A 22,713-nucleotide genomic window follows, 5' to 3' on the forward strand; every position below is an offset into this window, starting at 1 on the left:
TATATCACCTGTTTACAATACTGTCTTATTTATGCAAATAATCCTCGTGTATGAAAACAATACAGACAAAACAATAGTCTCCCTTGTCCACCCCTCTCCGTCACCAGCCCCCTCAGCAATGGTTTAATGTGTTTCCTCAAAAATTCCTCAATCGATGCATTTACATACACATACATGCACTAATAGAAACATACGCTTGTCTTTTATGGGGCCATAAGATACAGACTGGCTCAGGATGCACGTATTGTGTGGCACTTGATTTTTGCATTTTACAGCAAGTCTGGGTGAACTTCTCCTGTCAGTTCATGGAGAACTGTCTCATCATTTTTAACTTCTGCATAGTGTTCTAAGTGATATGCCATAATTCTTTAACTACTTCCATACACAAGGACCTTCACATTTTTTTCCTCAACTTTTAAAGTTCTCAAAAGTTTTTCCAATATCTTTGTTTGCAGAGGATGTGTCGCTCTAGAAGAGATACACATAAATAGAATTTTGGCACAAAACCCTACAAATATTTCAACACTGAGTAGCCGTTGATAAATGGATCTGAAAAGAGGTGGCAGCAATTTATTCTCTCAGGAGCAGTGTAGGATAGTGTTCATTGTCCTTCACCGTCGCTCTTGATGTTATTCATCCCTTTAACTATTTGCTAATCTGGTGGTTGATATATAAAAGGTTTTGAGACAAAGCCTTCCTTACAGAATCTGTGAAGGTCCAGGGCTGGTCATGCCTGCAAGCCCATACTCAGATGTCGCCTCCAGTGGGCTGGGTGGGGAGAGGCTGAGAAAGGCACAACAGAGTACAACAGAGAGTGACAGGAGGAAGTTTCGGGGTCCATGAGAAGGCTCAGACAGGGCACCCACTCAGCCTTGGGGATGTTAATGGAGTCAGTGGAGGTTTCCCAGAGGATTAGGTGCCTGAAAGGCGTGAGGAAAGAAATTAGACAGGGAAAGGGAGAGGAGGAACAGCACTTGAAGCACAAAGACCAGGCCACTGAGGTGATTTTGGAAACTGCAAATAAGCAGACCCAGTTTCTATTCTGTGCACTTGTAGCAGTCAAGGTTGGCTACCATGAAACGGTGCTGGATCAGAAACGTGTGTCCCAGTGGAGACTCTGAGTTCCTCTGCTGCAGTTCTCTAGAATGAGGGTGCTCAATCAGGGGCTAGCCTGAGTTCCAAGGTCCAGCCCTTGAGGATCTTCTGGGTTGCATCCAGGCCCTGGCCTAGAGTTTCTGAAGTCTGTCATGGGACATAAGATAGTGATACATATATATATAGTCTCCTAAGGACCTAGCCTGGGAGACTCTAGTCAGCTGCCCACCCATTCTGTAGCTCTGGGGTATGAAAAGAAGCAATTTTAGGCAGGGTGAGATGCCAATGGTGTCATGCAGTATCTTAGGGGGTAGTGAGGGTATCCTTAGAGGATACTGAAAATACTTGCAATGGGGCTCATGGGAGGCATAATAGCCCCCAGGGCAGCAGTGCCATCAGGGGACTTGCAACTAGGCAGCTGGCTGACACAGCAGGTAGCTGTGAATGTAGTAGTCCCCTAAGCCACGGGGTCACTAAATGTGTGAGAAGAACAAGAATTTGGAGGTCATTTAGCCAAAGATTTCAGTATGTCAATAGGGCAATGGAAGCTCAAGAAGGTATAGCAACTTGCTCAACACAGAGAGAAAATGTATCACTATGGTGAGACAGTGAAGGGAGGACACTGTGACTAACACTGACAGATGAAACCTGTCTTCCCCTGAACCTGAGAGGTTCTAGAAATCAAGAGCCTGTGCAAATGGGTCATCACAGCAAACAGCTTGAGGAGGTTCATGGCAGCCAGGTCCCAATCAGCAGCAGTGTTGTGCCTCTGAGGATATAATGTGTGAGGCTGTGTTGGTGTGTGAATCAGCCTCTGGTGGGTGGTGAACAGGGGGCTCCAGGCTGGCGTTCGCTCTCTCTCTCTCTCTCTTTCTCTCTCTCTCTCTCTCTCTCTGTCTCTCTCTCTCTCTCTCTCTGTGTGTGTGTGTGTGTGTGTGTGTGTGTGTGTGTTTTAGAGGTGAGGTCCCCTTGACACCAAGCCCTGCTCTATTAAATCCCCTATGACTACTTGGGTTTTGACTGCTGTTTTCCAAGTTATGGCCCCTCGTAACCCACTGGATTGGTTGGACGGTGGTATCGTTGCAGACAAGGGTCCTCCCTCTGAGCCCAAGGGAAGGAAGGAGGGAACAAGGTGGCCTCAAATCTTGTCCCCTGGGCCTGAGCCTCTTAAGCTACAGTGGCAGCTTCATCCATATCTGTGTCCCACACAGTCTCATATCCCTTGCCCTACCCACATTCAGCCAGCCCAGATTCATTTCTGGACTGGAGAAAAGGCCTCAGCACCTCCAGGAAGACAGCTCTGAGTCCAGACATTGAAAACATCTGGTTCCTGCTGAGCAGGAGGCTCTGGGCTCCAAGCTAGAGGAAATAAAAGGAATACTTCTCACCCTTATCCCAGATCAGAGAGTCCAGGCACAGCAAAGCTCTGGTGGACACATGCTCATTGATTTGTTTTCTTCAATAAAGGTTTATTGGTGCCGTGCTGTAGGTAAAGCCCTGTGTCCAGGTACTGGCTGTTCCAGGACTAACAAGGCAGAGCTCATGCTCCAGAGATGAGAACCTGGGTGAGGACAGTCATGCAAATTAAGCTGCCAGAGGGGGCAGTCTAGCATGAGAAATGCTATGATAGAGAAGAGTACACAGTATGTTTGTGTGTTAGTCAAATATTTCATCATATAGATAGGGAAATGGAAGCCCAGAAAGGTATAGCAACTTCCTCAAGGTAACACAGAGAGAAAATGTATCACTATGGTGAGACAGTCAAGTGAGGAGACTGTGATTGGGACTGGCATGGTGGAGGGGAGACATGTTACCAAGGGAAGAAGGACGTGTTCTTTTTGAGGGTAGGAACATCAGAGATCAAAAGGACAAGTGACAGGCTGAGCAAGGAAATGGTGGCTCCAGAGGAGAGCCATAATGCAAAGGCCCTGAGGCAGGGCAGAATTAACAGCTATTTTCGGGGGTACTGAAGGCAAATTTTAGCCACGCTGTGGAGAGAGACGAGGCTGTAGGAGAGGAGCAGAGTTGAGATGTCCAGATGGAAAGTCTGAGGGATGAGAGACAATGTCCTGGATAGAAAGGGGCTCTCACAGAATCATCTCATTTGGATCTGGATGGTATAGAAGGAAGTCTCCATTGCTGGTCCAGGATGAGTCCTGGGCTCCCGTCCCTGTGCAGTTTTCTACAGTGCATACACTGGGCCTTCTAAACACACCAACTCTAAAGCGCAATGGTGAGGTCAGAGTGATGCCCACCCAAGCTGTTCCCTAGAAGCCAGTGATCGGATACCATCCTGTGTGGCTGGGGAAGCTGGCAAACAGTGCATAATGAGGACATTGATATGGGTTCATCTAGAATAAAACCAGGATGACATAAAGAAGGGCTGGGTTTCTAGTAGGGGTCAAATGAGTGTGAAGAGGCAGAATTGTGGGGTAAAGATATTGGAATCAGGCCTCGGCGAGAGGGGAAGGCAGAGAGAGAGAGAAAGTGAGGAGAGGGAGAGGAAGGGAGTGACGGAGGGAGGGAGGGAGGAAGGGATGGATGGGGGCAGGGAGGAAGAGAGGAATCTAGGGAGGGAGGGAGGGAGGAGAGCATTTGGTCCTTTGCATAAGGGATATGGCCTATGAGCTGCAGCCTGCTGGGGCTGCCTCCCTCACACCAGAATTTTTGGAAAAGTATCCACTGTGATGGGCCTCTCTTCCTGGAGAACAGACGCCTTTGTCCTACTTGCTAGGAAGATATTTTTCCTGCACTGTTTTTGGGTTTTGGTTTTTGTTTTTTGGCACTGGAATGACCCGGAGTCACCCGGGAGCTCCCAAGAGGAGGATGCAGGGTCCCAGGTCAACTATATTACTACTCATGGCTGCCACTTACTGAGGGCCTAATACACATCAGACACTCTGTCGTGTGGATTACATAAGCTGACACTTATCTTTCCAACGGTCCTGCAAGTTCAATGTCAGTCAAATTTTACAGGGTGTAATCTGGAGCCGGAGACTTCAAGATACTTGTCCAAGGTCACACAGATATTTACTGACAAAGCTGGGACTTGACCCCAGGTCTGACTAAAACGTGGGCGCACCATGCACCACCCTGGCACCTGAGAACCCCTCCCAGCCTTAATGGAGCCTTCTGTGTCTTGCACCCAGTCCCTAGCCCCCAGATATTCCTGCTGTCTTAATTGTTATTGATTGCTGCATAAAAAACTACCCCAAGCATATCAAGTTAAAATGATAAGCAGTTTTTCTCTGAGAGTTCTGTAGATCAGGGATCCGGGTATGGCTTAACTGGATCCTCTACTTCCCAGTCTCTCACAAGGCTGCCAGCCCAGGGACAACAGTCTCATCTGTAGGCCTGACTGGGGAAGGATTGACTTCCAAGCTCACTCATGCGGCTGTTGGCAGGATCCAGTTCCTCATCTGTAGGCTCAGCTGGGGAAAGATAGACTTCCAAGCTCACTCATGTGATTGTTGGCAGGCTCTAGTGGGTCGCTGGCCTGAGGGCCTCAGTTCCTCTATGGCTGTTGGCCAGAGACTTTCATCAGCTCCTCGCCAGCTGGCCTTCTCCATCTGGGCAAACACGCGTGCAGGAAGAGCCTGAGGGAGAGAATGAATGCCAGCAGGTCAGAAGTCACAGTCTTGTTATAGCCTAAGCATGGAAATGACACGCCATCACCTTTGCCAAATTTTGTTGGTTAGAAGCAAGCCACTAGGTCCAGCCCACCCTCAAGGGGAGGGAATTCCATAGGAGCATGGGTGCCAGGAAGGGGGATCCTTGGAAGCCATTCTGGAAGGCTGCCCACCACACCTGCTCCTGCACCCACCTCAGTATAGTGAGCCCCTTTGGGTATCAACCACCTTGACGGAGCAAATGGTTGATGGGCCACCTTGGACTGTGCTATGTGGCCTGCATCTATCTGATCCCACCTCTCTTCCAGCAGGCCCAGGACTCGAGTCTGCCTGGCCTTGCCTTCCTCCCCAAACCTACCAGCTACTCCTGGCCACTGAGCCCATGAGATGTCACAGCAGCTGAAAAGGGACCTGCTCCCTGTGACTGAAGCACACACCCATCACTCGGGTGGGACTGGGACCCAGGATGGTGCTCCAGGCCTCTCCTGGTAAAACAGAGGTGAAGGGCTCAGCTCTCCCACTGAGACAGGGCCCACCTCAGGAGAACACGGGTACAGGTGGGAGAGGGCTGGGTCCAGAGTTATCTGTGAAAGCTGCAGAGATGTTCTTGCTTTTACCCTCTGGGTTGGGATTCTGGGTAGAATCCCCCCAAGTTCTCCAGCAGGCATCACAGAAACATCTCTAAGGCAACGTGGGAGCACCCATGCCAGAGAAGGAGCTGCTCTGAAGCTGCGTGGAGACCCAGAAGTGTTCAGACGCCTAAGATGGGGGACCTACTCTAGGGAGGAGAGGAGTGAGTATAGATTGGGGATGGTTTGTGTGTCTCCAAAATGTATTTAACTCAAAAGCAGAGAGAGATGTGAAGCACATATAGCAAAGCATTTTTAAGTAGGGATGGTGGCTGCTGTATTCTTCTCTCTGTTTTTCTGTAGGTTTGAAATATTTCAGTAGTACAATACTCTAAAAGTAGAAAACAGAAGAGAAGGAGGGGGCTCTCAGGACCCCTGGACTCCACATTTCCCAGGCGTGTCTCAGAGCCAAATGCGTCAAGCTGGGGGGTGGCATTGTGAACTTGTGAGTTTCCTAGGAACCCAGTGGTTCCATTAGGCTGTGGGGATCGGGACTGCAGGTGGCTGGACTCCCATGGCAGAACCTTAGCCAGGAGCAGAGCCATCCCGGAGAAGCCTGGGCTTTTTCCAGTTCTGGGAAGCATCCACCAGACTCAGCTCTTCCCACTGCTGCTATTTTCTTGCAATATATATCAGGGGCAGCTTACAAAGAGACACGGTGTCATAATAAGAGACAAACAACCTGAGGTGATGGATATGAGGCCATGTGCTGGAGGGGCTCTCTCCAAGGTTGAGGTGGGGGTTGTTGTGGTCAGATTATAACTTAATGCCTCTGAAGCCTTTCCTGTGGATTCTGTGACATCTTCTCTCCTTCTGACCTCACCTCCCTGTCCCTCAACCTACAGCCCTCCTCTCCGGCCCAAGGGCTATCACTCAGTCAGTGCCCATCAGCCACCCTATATGAAGTGTTTGAAACCAGTAGCATGTTTACTGTCCATCAACCATTGTGCTATTGCAAAAGTGACTGGGGGACATGCAGTACTGCTCCAAGGTACGAGGACAGTAACCCATTTGGCTAGGTACCCCGTGCCTAACTCTCTCTCCACAGCGACCCCCTTCCCTGCCACCTTCACCGAAAGAGGCAAACCATAAATCACAGGAGGTGGATATTCATGTGGAGAGGGACATCAAATATCATAACACCAAAAGAGTCAAGTGTGCCAGTATGTATTTCAGGCCCACTGGGGTGAGCAGGGGCATGGAGCAGCCGAAGGGGCGTGGTCACCGTTCACGGCTCTGTGTCTGCGGCCCCCGTGGTCTCAGTTTCCGAGTGTCCGGTATCCTCCCCTAGGGAGGAAAACAGAGTGACAATTGGACCCTTGGGAGCCCTGGGGATTCTGGCCTGGCCTGAGGTTCTCTTGGTGGGCTTGGCGGTGAGCAGTGAGAGAGGCAGAGGCTCTCACCTGAAGCACTTGGTGAAACATGTCAGGGCTCCCTGGAACCAGCTCCTCCAACACCCTCTCAGAAGAGCAGGTTCCCTGGGCAAGCCTGGTCCTCTATGGTGTTGGCAAAATAAACCAAGGGCATAGTGTCTTTAGCTGAGCCAGTTCCGTTCAGGAAAATAGGGAAAAATCATTCTAGCCAGCACTAACATTGCTTCCTTCATTCGTCGGGTGTTCGCTGGGGGCCTGTTTTGTGTACACCAGGATCAGTTGCAGGTACTGGGGATACAGCAATGAACTCTAGAGATCTAGATCCCAGCTCTCCTGGGGCTGACTATCTGCCACGCTGGAGGGAAATCAGGCTCACCAGGTCCTCAAGAGTTTGCTCTTCCTTGGGAAGGCTAAAAACTGCAGCTGCCCACCTTGCAAAGCTGAGAGCACCAGTCTGGGGGATGCGGCTTTCTCCATACAGTCAGATCAGGACTCAGCAGCAGCAGGAATGCCAGTGAAGTTCATGTTTTCTGAGAAGTGCGATGTACATGTGGTGTCTGAAAGGACTTATTGTCAGAGGCCGGCAGAACTCTTCATTGTGCTGGGCCTCTGGCTCAGGGCCTGTCCCCCCCTGTGAAAATCCATCCCCGTGTCCCTGGCCTGGATCTTCACCCTCCCCTCCTGTAGATGAGTATGCTCTTTTCAAGCAGTTGATGATACATTCTCGTAAACTCCCTCACGTGCTGAGATGCCTCATTGACTAGTATCATCGCTTCCCTTTCCTCTCTCCCGACTCCCCCTTGAACCCACTCTAATCAGCTTCCAGCCCCACAACGCGACTCTCATGTAGATGATTAAATGACGAATTGAAAGTGATGGTTTCTGATTTTCACATTACTCTACTTATATAAGCCTAAAGACTTAAGGGAAGATCTATTTCTGCATTGTTATCTTTAAGGTTTACTGAAATTCAAACCGGGGTACTTGCCAATTATATTTTTCCCCCCACCAGCTCCATCTTCATGTCAAGAAACTCAGTGAGTAGACAACCCTGAAACTACCCCTAAATTCCCAGTGAGCCGAACCCCAGCATTGCTGGGGATCCACAATCAAACTCCAGGTTTCTCTTCTGTGCATTAGTGGAAGCCAACGTAGGGTGCTTGAGGGAAGCATGGATGTAGAAAACTGTGTCTCACGGAGCCCTGAGATTTTTAGCTATAATTTTTGAGTCAGGCTGCTCAGTCAAGGCTCAGGCTCAGCCTACGGGAGCCTTCCAAGGTCCTGGCCTTGAGGATGCCCAGGGGTCTGTCAAGGGCTTGACAGAACCCTTTTAGGACCCTGTGATGGGCCTTGAGACAGTGGCATCTGAGCCCCCAGGGCTCTGGTCTAGGAAGCATCAGTTTTCCCACCCTACTTCTAGTTATGATTGGTGTCAGGAGGAAGAAAGAATTTGGGGATGCACCATAGGGTAAATATATTAAAACTGTTTAATCCCTGACAAATGGCACTCCAAATGTGGAGTGCACATTTGGCGCGTAGCGTGAATCTGTGCCAATTCACACTACCAGCGTCAGAACCTCAGTATATGATACCCGATTGGTATCATTATAATTTTAAGTGTTTGTCAGGTTGCAGTTTGAAAAGTGGAATCTCACTGTTATCTTAATTCCATTATGACTTGTGATGTGGAGCTCCTATTCCTTTCATAGTGGCCATTTGTATTTCTATAAATGGCCTGCTCAGATTGTTTGTTAGCTCTTCTATTGTTGTTTGTTCTCGCATGTGTTTCTTGAGTTGTCTCATCAGAGCTCTCTGTATATTGCAAATGTGATTATTTAGTCTGTTATAATTGAAGAAGATGTTTGCTCCCTGTCTCTCACTTGTGTTTGCATTTTGTTTCCTGTGTCTTCTTGCATGGACACTTTTCATTTGGGGTGTTCATACAGACTGCTTTATTCAGGCCTCACCACAACCATGTGAGGTTGTTCGTATTTACCTCAGTTTTCTTTTTGTTTGGTTGGTTTTATTTACATTTAATAAATGCTCATTGAGTTAGGTGTCAGAGGTACTCTGCACACTGGGGATAGAATCACCATAGTTCCATGCGCCAAGATCACACTGAGGGCTGGCGGCACAGTAATGAGCTGTACCCTTACAGAGCTTTCCACCTGTAAGAGTTTCGGGCACACTCTTAAGCTTCTTTTTCTTTTCATTCATGATTTAAAAATGCATTACTTACACATAATTGTACATATTTATGGGGTACCGTGTGATGTTTCAACCCCTGTATACATTGTATAATCTTCAAGTCAGGGTAATTACCATATTCATCACTTTAAACATTTATCATCTCTTTGCAGTGTTAACATTTAAAATCTTCTAGATTTAAAATCTTGAAGTATACACTACATTGGTATTTTCTATACTCGCTCTACTGTGTAATAGAACACCAGAACTCGTTCTTTATGTCTAACCGTAACTTTTTACATTTTTGCCAACCTCTCCCGTTGCCCCACACCCCCTTCCCTCCCCAGCTTCTGGTAACCACTACTCTAGTTTCTGCTTCTGTGAAATCAACTTTTTAAGATTCCACATCTGAGTGAGGTGATGTGGTGTTTGTCTTTCTGTGCCTGGCTTATTTCACTTAACATAATGTCCTCCAGGTTCACCCATGTTGCCTCAAATGACAGGATTTCATTTTGTTTTATGGCTGGATGGTATTCCATTGTATATACAAGCCACATTTTTCTTTATCCATTCATCTGTAGATGGGCATTTAGGTTGATTCCATATCTTGGCTATTGTGAATATTGCTGCAACGAACACGGGAGTGCAGATGTCTCGTCAACGTGATGATTTCCTTTTCTTTCGCTATATACCCAGTAACGAGATTGCTGAATCACACAGCAGTTCTATTTTCAATTTTTTGAGGAATCTTCATACTGTTTTCCATAATGACTGTAGTAATTTTCATTCCCACCAACAGTGCATAAGTGTTCCTCTTTCTCAACATCCTCTCCAGCATTTGCTACTTTTTGTCTTTTTGATAATAGCCATTCTAACTGGGGCGAAGTGATATCACATCGCGGTTTAGATTTGCATTTCACCGATGATTGGTGATGTTGACTGTTTTCATATATCCGTTGGCCATTTGCACATCTTCTTTTGAGAAAGGTCTATTCAGGCATTTTTCCCAATTTTTAATTGAATTATTATGAATTTTGCTATTGTTTGGGCTCCTTATATATTCTGGATATTAACCCCTTGTCAGATGCATAGTTTGAAAATACTATTTCTCTCATTCTGTAAGCTGTCTCTTTACTCTACTGATTGTTTCTTTTGCTGTGCAGATGCTTTATAGTCTGATATAATCCTATTGGTCTATTTGTGTTTTTGTTGCCTATGCTTTCGAGGCCTTACTGAAGAAAAGAATCGTTGCCCAGTTCAATTTCGTGAAACGTTTCCCCTATGTTTTCTTCTAGAAGTTTCACAGTTTCAGGTCTGACATTGCAGTCTTTAAGTCATTTTGATTTGACTTTTGTATATGGTGAGAGATAGGGGTCTGGTTTCATTCTTCTGATTGTGAACGTACAGTTTGTCCAGCACCATTTATTGGGGAGACTGTCCTATCCTCCATGTATGTTCTTGGCTCCTTTGTAGAAAATCAGTTGGCTGTTAATGCTTGGATTTATATCTGGGTTCCCTATAATGTTTTATTGGTCTATGTATCTGATTTTATGTCAGTGCCCTGTTGTATTGGTTGCTTTTGTATATTTCGAGGTCAGGTAGTGTGTTGTCTCCAGCTTTGTTCTTCCTGCTTGGGATTGGTTTGGCTATCAGCATCTTTTGTGGCTCCATACAAATCTAGGATTTTTTTTTTCTATCCGGACTGTCATTGGTATTTTGACAGGGATGTCAAATGTCGAACATGGAGATCACTTTGGTTAATATGGACATTGTAACAATATTAATTCGTCCATGAATGTGGGATCTCTTTCCATTTATTTGTGTGCTCTTCAGTTTCTTTTATCAGTGTTCTACAGTTTTCACTGTAGAGATCTTTCATCTCCTAGCTTAAGTTTATTGCTAGGATTTTATTTTTTATTTTTTTGTGGCTATTGTAAATGGAATTACTTTCTTGATTTCTTTTTCAGATAGTTTGCTATTGGCAAACAGACATGCTACTGATTCCTGTATGCTGATTTTATATTCTGCAACTTTACCGAATTCACTTATTAGTTCTAATAGTTACTTGGTGCAGTCTTTAGGGTTTTCTCTATATAAGACCATGTCGTCTGTAAACAGGGACAATTTGACTTCCTCCTTTCAGGTTGGATGCTGTTACGGTTTGGCTGTGTCCCCGCCCAGATCTCATCTTGAACTGTTGCCCCCATAATTGCCATGTGTTGTGGGAGGGACCTGGTGGGAGATAATAAAATCTTGGGGGCGGTTTCCCCCATACTGTTCTCGCGGTAGTGAATAAGTCTCACGAGACCTGTTGGTTTTATAAGGTGTTTCCCCGTTTGTTTGGCTCTCATTTTCTCTCTTGCCTGCCGACATGTAAGATGTGCCTTTTGCCTTCCATCATGATTGTGAGGACTCCCTAGCCACGTGCAACTGTGAGTCCATTAAGCCTCTTTTTAAAAAATAAATTACCCACTCTCGGGTATGTCTTTATCAGCAGCGTGAGAACAGACTAATACAGGCGCTCTTTATTTCTTTCTCTTGCCTAATTGCTCCGGCTAGAACTTTCAATACTAAGTTGAATTTAAGCAGTGAAAGTGAGCATTCTTTTCTTGTTACAAATCTTAGAGAAAAAGCGTCCAACTTTTTCCTATTCAGTATGATATTAGCTTTCGGTTTATCATATGCGGCCTTTATTTTGTTGAGGTATGTTTTTTACCTCTTTGCCCACTTTGCTGGGAGTTTCTATCATGAAGGGATGTTGACATTTTTTGAATGCTTCTCAGCATCTATCGAAATGAGCATATGGATTTTGTCCTTTGTTCTGTTGATGTGAGGCATCACTTTTATTACATTGCACATATATTGAACCAACCTTGCATCCCTGGGATGAATCCCACTTGATCATGATGGATGATGTTTTTAATGTGTTGCTGGTGTTTGGTTGAGGGTTTTCGCATCCATGCTTACTAGGGATATTGGTCTTTAGCTTTGTTGTTTTGTCGTGTCCTCGTCTGGCTTTGGAATTACAGTAATGCTGGCCTCGTAAAATGTGTTTGAAGCTATTCCCTCCTCTTCATTTATTTGCTTGTTTGTTTGTTTGTTTGTTTTTAAGCCTTTGAGAAGAATTGGTACCAGTTCTTTACATGTTTGGTAGAATTCACCAGCAAATCCATCAGGTCCTGGACTTTTCTTTGATGGGAGAGTGTTTACTCCTGCTTCAATGTCATTATTCCTTATTGTTTCTGTTCAGGTTTTCTATTTCTTTGTGATGCAATCTTGGTAGCTTGTATGTGTTCAGGAACTTATCTGTTTCTTCTAGATTTTGAATTTCTTGGCAGATGGTTGTTCATGATAGTCTCTTATCATCATCTCCACCGCTGTTGTGCCAGTTGTAATGTTTCCTTTTTTTATCTCTGTTTTTATTTGAATCTTCTCTCTGTTTTCCTTAGTTAGTCTAGCTAAAGATTTGTCAATTTCTTTATCTTTTAAAAGGCTAACTCTTTGTTTTTTGATTTTTAAGTTGTTTTTAAAAAATCTCTATTTTGTTTATTTCTGCCCTGATCTTTGTTATTTCTTTTCTTCTGCCAACTTTGGGTTTTTTTTTTTTTTGTTGTTGTTGTTCTTTTTCTAGTTTCTTGGGGCGTAACATTAGGTTGTTTATTTGAGATATTTCCACTTCTGTTACACAGGCATTTATTGCTATAAACTTTCCTCTTAGAACTGCATTTGCTGTATCCCATAGGATTTGGTATGTTGTGTTTCCATTTTCATCTGTCTCAAGGAATCTTTAAATTTCCTTTTTCCTTTTTAATTCCTTCATTGACCCATCCATTGTTCAGGAGCATGTTGTTTCATTTCCACGACTTTGCCCAGTTTTCAATATTCCCTCTGTTATTGATTACTTCATTGTGGTCAGAAAGTACTCAATGTGATTTTGATTTTTAAAAGTTTGTTAAGACTTGCTTTGTGAACTAACGTATGGTCTATTCTGAGGAATGTTTCATGTGCTGTTGAGAAAAAATATGTATTCTGTGGCTTTTGGATGGAATGATCTGTAAATATCTGTTAGGTCCATGGGGTCTAGAGTGCAGTTTAATGCCGACATTAATTTTCTGTTTGGTTAATTTTCTGTTTGGATGATCTGTCCACTGCTGAAAGTGGGGTATTAAAGTCCCTCACTATTATTGTATTATGGTCAATCTCTCCTTTCAGGTCTTTTAATATTTGCTTTACATATTTGGATGCCCTGGTGTTGGGTGCATATATTTATAACAATTATAAGTATTTATATATATTTACTATATATATATTTACAAAATATGTATATTTACAATGGTTAGAATATACGTATTTAACAATTAAATATATATTACAATATATATTACAGTTGTTAAAATATATATATTTTGTAATATATATTACTATATATACAATTGTTACAAAAACATATGTATATATATACACACACATATATTTACAATTGTTATATCCTTTTGCTTTATTGACCTGTTTAACATCATATAATGGCCTTCTTTGTCTTTTTCTTTTTATGGTTCTTGACATAAAGTCTATTTTATCTGATCTAAGTAGAGGTACTCCCACTCTGTTTTGGGTTCCATTTGCATGGAATGTCTGTTTCCAACCCTTTGCTTTCAGTCTGTGTGTGTCTTTGTCGGTGAAGTGAGTTTCTTCTAGACAGTATTTAGTTGGGGCTTGTGTTTTTAGCCACTCTATGTCTTTTAATTGGAGAACTTAGTCCATTTACATTCAAGTTTATCATTGACAGGTAAAAGTTTAACACTACCATTTTGTTACCTGTTTTCTGTTTTTTGTTTTTTGTTTTTTTTTTTGGTAGATCTGTTCTTCCTTTGTTTTGCTCTTACTGTCTTCTTTTGCTGTTATGTATTTTTCTCTAGTAGTAAATCTTGATTCCTTCCTATTTATATTTTAGTGTCCCTATTATAGGTTTTTGCTTCGTGGTTACCATGATGAGATGTATAAAATATGTCTTATAATTACAACAGGTTATTTTAAACAGATAGCAGTTTAACTTTAATCACAGGAAAAACGAACAAAAACAAACTCTACACTTTAACTCATCCCTCCCTCCACACTTTGACTTTCTGATGTTTTAAGTTACATCTTTTTGTATTCTTATCTCTTAACCAATTGTTGTAGTTATTACTGTTTTGAACAGTTTTGTCTTTTAGGTTTCATACTTAAGATATATTTGGCAACCCGCGATGACAATATTATAGCATTGTAAATCTGTCTGCTTTCTTACTATTACCTGTGAGTTTTATACCTTCGGATATTTTTTTGTTACATGTTAGTGTTCTTTTCTTTCAGACTGAAGAAACCCCGTTAGCATCTCTTGTAAGACAGGTGTTGTGTTGATGATTTTTCTCACGTTTTTTCTTTTCTTTCTTTTCTTTTTGTTTCAGCAAGTCTTTTTCTTTCTTTTTTGCTGGAAGGATAGCTTTGCTGAATATGGTATTCTTGACTGACAGTTTTTTTCCTCTTCATCACGTTGAATGTATCATTCCTCCCTTCCCTGGCCTGCAGGGTCTCTGGTGAGAAATCCACTGAAAGCTGTATTGGTGACCCATTGAGTGTGATATGTTGTTTTTGTTGTTTTTCTCTTGATGCTTTGAGCATTTTTCTTTGCCTCTGATTTGTTTAAATAATTTGAATATGGTGTGCCTTGGGGAATTTGTCTTTGGGTTGAATTTTATTTGTCACCTCTGAGCTTCCTGTGCCTGAATGCTATGATCTTTCTCCAGATTTGGGAAATTTCAGCCGTTATTTTTCTAAATATGCTTTCTAGACCTTGTATTTTTTTTTGTCTTCTTCAGCAATTTCTATTATGCAGAGTCTAATTTTCTTGATGATGTCTTATAATTCTTAAAGGCCTTCTTCCCTCTTTTAAAATGCTTTTGTCTTTTTCCTCCTCTATATATGTTCTGTCTTGGAGCTTACAGATTCTTTCCCCTGTTTGGTCAACTCTGCTGTTAAACCTTTCTAATGAGGTTTTCAGTTCAGTCACTGTATTCTCTATTTTAGGACTTCTGGTTTTTTTTTTTTTTTTTTTTAATTGTTTTTATTTCTTTGTCAAATTTTTTGTTTTGTTCCTGGATTGTTATTCAAATTTTATTTAGTTTGTTATCCATATTGTCATGTAATTCCCCAAACTTCTTTAGGATTATTCTGAATTGTCTGTCAGACATTCCATAGATCTTCAGTTTTTCTGGGTCTGTTACTGGAGTTTGGTTGGTTTCTTTTGGCGTGTCACATTTTGTGAGTTTTCACAATCCTTGTCTCTTTATGTTGATGTCTGTGTGTTTAAGGAGATGCTCACCTCTTCCAGGTTTTGCAGCTGCTCCTTGGTGGTGTCAAACCTTTACTACTTAATATTGGAACTTAATCCCTGGCCAGCTGTTGCTTTCAGTCTGGAAAAGACTTACTGTGAGCACCAGAACTTAAATGCTCCACTTAACTATGTTGCTGCCCTGCCACTGTTTCTTGGTCTGGGGAAGACTTAAGCGAACACTGGCCCATTATTGCCAACCTTTTAGTTCTTTCCAGGTCAAGGGAAGGCTCCATGTGATCACATGGGCTTAGTGAGAAATCTGGCCAGGGATCTGGGCCTTCCTGTGTGTTGCGCCCCCAGCAGTGCTGTGGTTCTGGCCAGTCTCCTCAGCATTGGCATGCCCACTGATCGTGGCACAGAGCAGCTGCCAAGATCCACGTGAGAGTTGCTGTGATCAGTGCACCCACTTTCTGTTCCCAATTCACCCCAGGTGTTTCAGCTCTCTTCTGGAACTCTGAAGGGTACCCGTGGGATAGGGCTGGAGGGGACTTCCCATGAAGATTCCCAGACTGATGGGGAGGTCACATGTCCACTTCCAGTTCCCTCCTTCCACCTCAGAAATTGTGGGTCTAGAGAAATTCTCTGTGAGTAGCATTATGCTGGTTTGGGGGAGGAGGTGGCACAGTCTAACGTGACTGTTGTTCCTCTTACTGGTTGTGGCTTTTCTCAGTTTTGTCATCCCAGGAAGTTTCCTTGCTTCTCCCCCAAGTTCTAGTGAAACCAGGGTGGTATTCTTGCCTTTGATTAATTTGTAGTTGTACTTTTGTGGGGAGAGTGGTACTGTGGGATCATCTGTTCAGCCTTCTTGCTGACGTCGCTCCTCCTATTTACCCCAGCGCTCAAATGCAGAAAGCGAGGCTAAGAAAAGGTGCAGGGATTTGTCCCTAGATTCTAATCCAAGATCCCGACCTATGTGTGCCTAACTGGAAAGCTATGCAGTGACGTGGGCCCATGGCAGGCTATAGGCCAACATTAAAGCCCCATTCATACTGGCCTCCTCCTAGACACAGAGGGAACACAGCATGTAGCAGAAGAAGCCCTCTTTTGTCCTCAGAGGTGTGTGCCTACTTCAAAGCACACAAGACAAGGAATGGCAGAAGAAGGGGCATAATAATGGGCCTGCTGGACAGGACACTTGTAGTGAGGGTTGGGAGATCTGGGGGCCAGGACAAGACCCACCACTAACTGTGACTTTGTCTAAGCAACTGGCTCTCTCCTGGCCACTTCTCTAATAACCAGATAACAGTTCTGAGCCACCATTGCAAGTGTCGGAAAGGTGGGTTTTTTGACCCCAGCTGGGATAAAAGGAAAGGGGGTGAGACATACCTCCAGCAATCATTTCAGCAGCCCATAGCTCTTATCAATGCAACCTCTCAGGCTTAGCAGCTATTGCTAGTATCATCATGATTTGCATGTAAATGACTGCTGCTGGATGATGATCTGGGGACAAATGGCATCCAGAGCTTATCCCAAAGGGCCTGATCTCAAGGAACCTGATGGATGTTGCCTCTAGGCCTGGTACAACACCAGCTGCTCTGTGGAGGGGGCATCCCAAGTAATCTTCACAACCCCTCTGTGAGACGCTTTCTTTCCCGCTCCCACAAAGAGTAATAGCGTCGGTCCTTCTCAACCACCCAGGACTGCTGTGAGGAGTAATGAGAAAGCTCCCAACAGCCCTGGAAGATATTAGAAAGTGAGATACACCTGCTATGTACCCACAACAACAGCAACAACAAAAAAACAAGAACATGAGGAACATGATGCAAGTCCAACAGATTACTCATCCAGGCAATTGCAGAAAACATACCAGAGCTGTGTATTATGAGACAAATGGTCACCGACATTACTACTAATCATTAAATGCCCACTGATGATACTATTCCCAGTGGAGTTACAAATGCCACCCAAAGAATCCATAGCTCCTGTCCTCTCGGTAGATATGGGAAGTCACTGTTACTGGGGACCAGGTTTTGCCTGGCATGCCCCCACACGTTTTACCCCATCTAGTTCTCACAGCAAGTAAATAAGACAAGTCTAGCTCCTACCTCTGGGAGGAGGCTGTTCACCCTCCCCTCACAATCCCCAGAGGACGCTGATGGATAAGTAAACCAAGACCAAAGCCTCCTAACCCATGCTCCATGGTGTGTGCCAATGGTTTATGATGTCTCTGCACTACAGGTCTTGTCCACCCTTAAGTGGCCAATTAGGGCCTGGGACAGCCTGCAAATATTACCCAACATGGTTGAGCACCACCAGTTTTGAGCCTCACCTTTACACCATACACCAAAACATACATGTGTTATCGTGTATGTAAACAAACTCCAAACCAAGCCGAAACAAGAACAGGATGTGTATAAATTTCCTGAATGGGGTAGAATTCTGGTTATTTCCTGTGTAATTGCCAAGTATGTTCAACGTAGCTTCTCAGCAACCCATCAGCTATATGAATCTTAGCAGAACCGAAGACTAGACCCGATTTCTTCAGCCTTTCACTGAATTCTCCTCCTCCGCCTGTGATCCCTATCTGGGTCAATGGTACCCCAGGGCCACAAGTCACTCAAGCCAGAAACCTGGGTGTCATCCTTGGCCCCTTGCCTCTGGACCTTGCCCCAGGCCCACCTCCAGCCTAACACAGCACCGTTCTATCTATCCTATGAAAAGCATCTCTCAAGTAATGCCACTTCCCTCCAAACCCTCCTCCACTAATTTTCCCCACAAACTTTAAAACCCACGAGTGAGTGAGTGCATTTTCTTTGGGCACAATTTCTCCCTATGCCCATCTATTTTCTGTGATTGAGACTAGAGGTGTCTAAAGATGGCCAGTGAATGAATAAAATTGACTGGCAGGGTCACAGAAACAAGCAAAGCCCACGTTGACCCTCACTGGCATGATCTCATTACACTTCCTCATGCTGGAGTCCCAGGAAAGCCAAGTCTCTCTTTGTAATCAGTGCAGTGAGGATGGGTCAGCCTTTTATGAGAGTGGTCTTGGAGCGTGTGCTCCCCCTTGGGATGGCTTAAAGGTTGAGCTGCCCACCCTGTGATGCTGCGGGCACCACTCTGGGGGTTCCAGCGAGATGCAGCTTTCCCCCTACAGGAAATAAACCAGATGAATGTGATTTGATATGACCAATGTGAGGTCCCATCACTCATTAGTATGTGTCTGGAAGGCCCACGGTTAGGCTCCATCTTCTGTAGGACACCAGCAGTCTTCCGACTGTTCTCAGGAGTACTCTGGCAGTCTGTAGAATTACCTCAGGTGACCATGGGGAGCACTGGAGGAGGGGCACGACAGATGCAGTTTTTTCCCCATTACGTCGCACCATCATTTTACCAGTCAAAACAAGTCCCCAGTGGGTGCAGTGTGGGAGGAGATTGGGCACTGTGTGGTGGGAACTGTCTCCAAGCACCCTGTTACCGGGGAACCCTGACTCCATGAATGTTTTAGCTTTGCTGCATGTGGGACTGCAAGTACAGTGTCCCCATCACCAAGAGCATGGGCTGTAACTCACAGTTCAATAGGACCCCCTAGATTTGTAGTTGGTGACAGTGGCTCTTAGGCTGCATTGCTGTAATGGAAGGATCCTTGCCTCAGATCAACCAGGCACTGTATCATGGCTCCCTCTTGTGCTGGCGATGCAACCTCAGAATGGTGATCACACCACTCACCTTGATCCGGATGGTGGAATAATAAAACAAAAACATGTGACGCTCCTGTAACACAGCAGGCTGTGTAACATTTCATGGAGCTAAGTACAAATGTTGCTGCCTCTGTAAGGCTGCCCAGGATTCACGGGAACATAGCACCAGAGAGATTGAGGACAGGTGGGGCAGAAAAACAAGCTTAATCTCTTGCTCACTCGCACAGTCCAATGGTCTTCTGTTCACCAGAAGTGCTGGGTGAGCCTGGAGCCGTGGAATTTCTGACCCCACACCTTCTTCTGAGGCACTGTCGACTTTACTTTACCGACCTACCTGAGACGTCTCTCAGGCACGGGGATTGTGAGGTGATGTAAACGCGGGTCGGGGGGAGGTGTAAGCAAAGGAGAAGAACTCATAACTCGGTCACGGTCATATTTCAGAAACGAAGGTGTAAAGCTGACGACCCATGCCTTCCCCTATTGCTGACCTGTCTTTCCCCATTCCTGCATGTGATTGCCCTGCATGCTCAAATGGTTCATCATGCAATGGGTAATGGGCCTGCTCTTGAGATGCATGAGCATCTGTTTTGTGTCGCTGTAACAGAATACATGAGACTGCGTGATTTATAAATAAAAAAATATTTATTTAGCTCATGGTTCTGCAGGCTGGGAAGTTGAAGGGCATGGCCCTAGCTTCAGGCGAGGGCTTGTGTGCTGTGTCATAATGTGGTGAGGAAGGTCAAGGGGGAAGTGGACACATGCAATGAGAGAAAACCTGAGGGGCATCCTGGCTGTATAGCAACCTACTATCTTGGGCACTTTGTCCATTCCTGCGAGCACTAATCCAGTCTCGCCAGAGCAAGAACTCACTCACTACTGTGAGGAGAGCACCAAGACACCTACAAGGACAAAGGTGGAGCCCTCGTGACCCAAACAACCGTGCACTAAGCCTCACCTCCCAGCACCACCACCTTGGGGACCAAATTTCAACATGAGTGGAATCTCCTGTGTATACGGGGCTGGCAGAGGAAAGCATTTTCTGCTGTGAGGCTGCAGAGTCCACTGGCCTGCGCAATGGGGAAGGCAGGGAAGTCCTCATGGTCCATCCAACCCAAGAGGGCCTGAGGTGGACGATGGCAACTGGAGGTCGAATCAGCAGTGGAGGTGTTCCTTTCAGGAGATGATGCGTAGTGCTGTGGCTGTGTGTGGGAGTCAGTCAGCATCTGGTGGGTAGTGGGCATATGGTTCTGGGCAAAGCAGACTTGGACAATGTTAGGATCAGATTGGAGAGCCCTGGAGAGAGTGTGGTGCTGGGGAGAAGGGCTCCTTGTTGCTGAGTCTGGCTACCTTTAAATCCCATCTCTGCCACTTGGGTTTCAAGAGTGACTGCCAAGTTGTGCCCTATCCACCAGATTTCCCCACATCATTTCTTGTTTCAACAAGTATTTGCATCCTAAATACACACATACAAGCACAAGCATGCCCATGCACATGTATGCACAGACTCTCCCTGACACTCCCTTACCAGTGCAATGACTGAGCTCATGGTTATGACAGCAGCTATGAAGGAACGAACACCCAACAAGCCCCCAGCCCTAGGGAGTTGGAACGCTGCTCCTCTTTTGGACTAAACATGGGGTTTAGGGCTAAACCCCATGATGTCAAGTCCTAGCCCCTTTTGGAGAAGCAGCAACATGGAGCTGAACTTCCCCCACTGAGTTAGGGCCCAGCTCAGGAGGACAGAGCCATTGTGGGGAGATAGGTGGTACCTGTGCCATCGAAAAAGCTGCAGAGACATGGGATCTAAAGAACTCCATCACTCCATAATTAACAGCTCTGTCTGTTCAGTACCTATGGGTCTCACCGTGGCTGTTCCCCAGGAATATAGGAAAAGGGCTGTGGGACTTCCAAATGCTGTCGCCTACCTGAACCTTACCCCATCTGGATTTCATTTGAGCTTAAAGGCCCTGGACCTCTGAAGAACCAGAGGGTGAGTAATTCACCCAGCAGGCCCTAAGAAAGCATTTTTTTTTTTTCCTCCCCTGGCTTTGCACAGGGGACTGCATGAGACGGGGGAGGGGGAGAGAGAATTTTGGTGTTCCTGTGTCCTAGTTAGGCTTCTTGATGCTAAAGAGCACATCCAATATCCTTGTCCATTTACTTTGGTGACCCCTGGTGCTGCAGTTTCTAACAGGGCCTCCTCCATGGTTGTTAGTTAACAGGGACAATTATGCTCCAACCGCCCCCCTTTCAGAATTCTCCTGCTGATACTGTGTTGCAACACATATCAAGGTCACCTTAGGAAGGCAAAAGAAAAAAAATAAAGTCCTCATCTTATGGAAAGGAACAATGCATAGTTGGAGACAAGGCCGTCTGTTGGAAGGGGTCTCTGTCTTGTGGTGGAGTAGGCGGGGCTTGGGAGCTCTTTGTCAGTACAGGGGTTAACGCCTTTTCTGAGGTCCACAGATTCTTCCTCCACATGACCCTCTCGCCTCCGCATATAAACACCGCCCAGTTTTCCTCAGATATGAAGACTGTGTGCATTGCTGGGGGTAAGAGAGATGTTATTCCGTCCTCATTCCTGCATGTGAGATGTTATTCCGTCCTCATTCCTGCATGTAAGTGCCCCGCCAGGGTCAGAGCTGAGAGCCGTGGAAAACTCACCGTTGATTGGCTACAGCCCATCGCCACCAGGACCTAGTAACAAGCAGCGCTGCCTCGAGGAGGAGGGCAGACAGCCTAACAGGGCTAAGGAAGATGCTAGCTCTCTCCCTTCACAACCCCACCACCACCAAAGCTGACCACCCCCAGTTCAGCCGACGTGTTGAAAGTTACATCAAATGCCACAAAGCAAAAACAGTCAAGCGTGCCAGCATTTATTTCAGGCCCGGTGACCGGGACACTGGGGCGAGCAGGGGCATGGAGCATCAGAGGGGGCTCGGTCACCGTTCACGCCTGTGTCTGTGGCTCCGGTGGTCTCAGATTCCGAGTGCCCGGTATCCTCCCCTAGGGAGGAAAGCGAGTGACAAGTGGACCCTCGGGAGCCCTGGGGATTTCTGACTTGGCCTGAGGTTCTCTTGGTGGAACAGGAAGGGGAGGCGGATGGGCTTGGTGGCGAGCCAGTGAGACAGGCAGAGGCTGGCTCCGAAGGAGCTCTCGCCTGAAGCACTTGATGAAACATGCCAGGGCCCTCTGGAACCGGCTCCTCCAAGACCCTCGCAGAAGAGCAGGTTCCCTGGGCAAGCCTGTGCCACTGGATGGGTCCTCCGCGGTGTCAGATACAGCAACCAATTCCTCAGGGTCTTTTTGCGGCCCTTTCACATTCTGAAAGACAGACTAAATAACTGGATCCTAATGATCCCTCCCATCCCTGGCTTCCGTTACGCAACTGTTGTGTGCATCTCCGGCCCTCTTCCATGGGTGAGGGATGCAGCAGTGACCTGCGCAGACCAAAGCCCAGCCTCCTAGGGGACATTCCAGGACAACGGAGGGAAGCCAGACTCACCAGGTCAGCAGGTGGAAGGAAGGGAGTGAAGATCATGCTTCCAGGAGTGTGTGATGTGCCGGTAGGGACCAACAGGACTTCAATGAAGACACCGGCGAAGCTCGTCACTCTGCCCGGTGCAAAGAGGCCGAGGGCCTGCCCCCTCCACGCCCCATTCAGCCCCTCTGCCCCTGCCCCATCGTCCCTCCCCCCCTACAGCCTGGTGCTCCAGCAGGGGATACATTTCTGGCATGTCGCATTCCATTTGTTTCTGTATCTCTTACTCCCAGTCCTCCAATCTTTCT

At 45.8% G+C, this 22,713-nt stretch overlaps 2 protein-coding genes across 6 annotated transcripts in view, besides 1 other annotated feature; one reads left to right on the forward strand and one right to left on the reverse strand.

Moving 5' to 3' along the window:
- DMRTC1B (DMRT like family C1B) overlaps positions 1 to 22,713 on the forward strand; it is a 71,914-nt gene that overhangs the window by 8,756 nt on the left and 40,445 nt on the right. The window contains exons 2-3 of one of the 4 annotated variants that reach the window (NR_170369.1): positions 5,036 to 5,223; positions 5,389 to 5,517. The exons of 2 other annotated variants lie outside the window; for them this stretch is intronic. The gene's annotated coding sequence lies outside the window, so the exon portion shown is untranslated. Of the gene's footprint in view, positions 1 to 3,752; positions 5,518 to 22,713 lie in introns of those variants that run through there. One more of the 4 variants, XM_047442419.1, reaches the window with a different exon arrangement.
- On the reverse strand, positions 21,780 to 22,565 carry FAM236D (family with sequence similarity 236 member D). 2 transcript variants are annotated; one of them, NM_001348202.1, is made up of 3 exons: positions 22,430 to 22,565; positions 22,085 to 22,248; positions 21,780 to 21,930 (listed from the first exon to the last, which is right to left on the reverse strand). In NM_001348202.1, the coding sequence occupies exons 1-3, from the start codon at positions 22,463 to 22,465 to the stop codon at positions 21,903 to 21,905; spliced, it is 228 nt and encodes a 75-aa protein (NP_001335131.1). In that variant the 5' UTR covers positions 22,466 to 22,565; the 3' UTR covers positions 21,780 to 21,902. The 2 variants fall into 2 exon arrangements, with proteins under 2 accessions (NP_001335131.1, NP_001335132.1); NM_001348203.1 differs by having other exon boundaries at positions 22,085 to 22,260.
- Positions 21,876 to 22,376: an enhancer, noted in NCBI's record as "H3K4me1 hESC enhancer chrX:72027355-72027855 (GRCh37/hg19 assembly coordinates)". NCBI's record gives its function as "activates a minimal SCP1, AML or CMV promoter by ChIP-STARR-seq in primed H9 embryonic stem cells {active_cell/tissue: H9 hESC(primed)}" and the evidence as "EXISTENCE:reporter gene assay evidence [ECO:0000049][PMID:30033119]".

The sequence above is a fragment of the Homo sapiens genome, chromosome X, assembly GCF_000001405.40.
Source record: "Homo sapiens chromosome X, GRCh38.p14 Primary Assembly".
Taxonomy (NCBI): Eukaryota; Metazoa; Chordata; class Mammalia; order Primates; family Hominidae; genus Homo; species Homo sapiens.

Bases quoted from the DNA above. Each gene is read 5' to 3' on its own strand.
- FAM236D (NM_001348203.1), bottom strand. From the start codon at position 22,465: ATGATCTTCACTCCCTTCCTTCCACCTGCTGACCTG. The intron at 22,261-22,429 runs GTGAGTCTGGCT...CCAGTTATTTAG, and splicing joins TCCTTCCACCTGCTGACCTG to TCTGTCTTTCAGAATGTGAA. The intron at 21,931-22,084 runs GCGAGAGCTCCT...TTTCCTCCCTAG, and splicing joins TGTTTCATCAAGTGCTTCAG to GGGAGGATACCGGGCACTCG.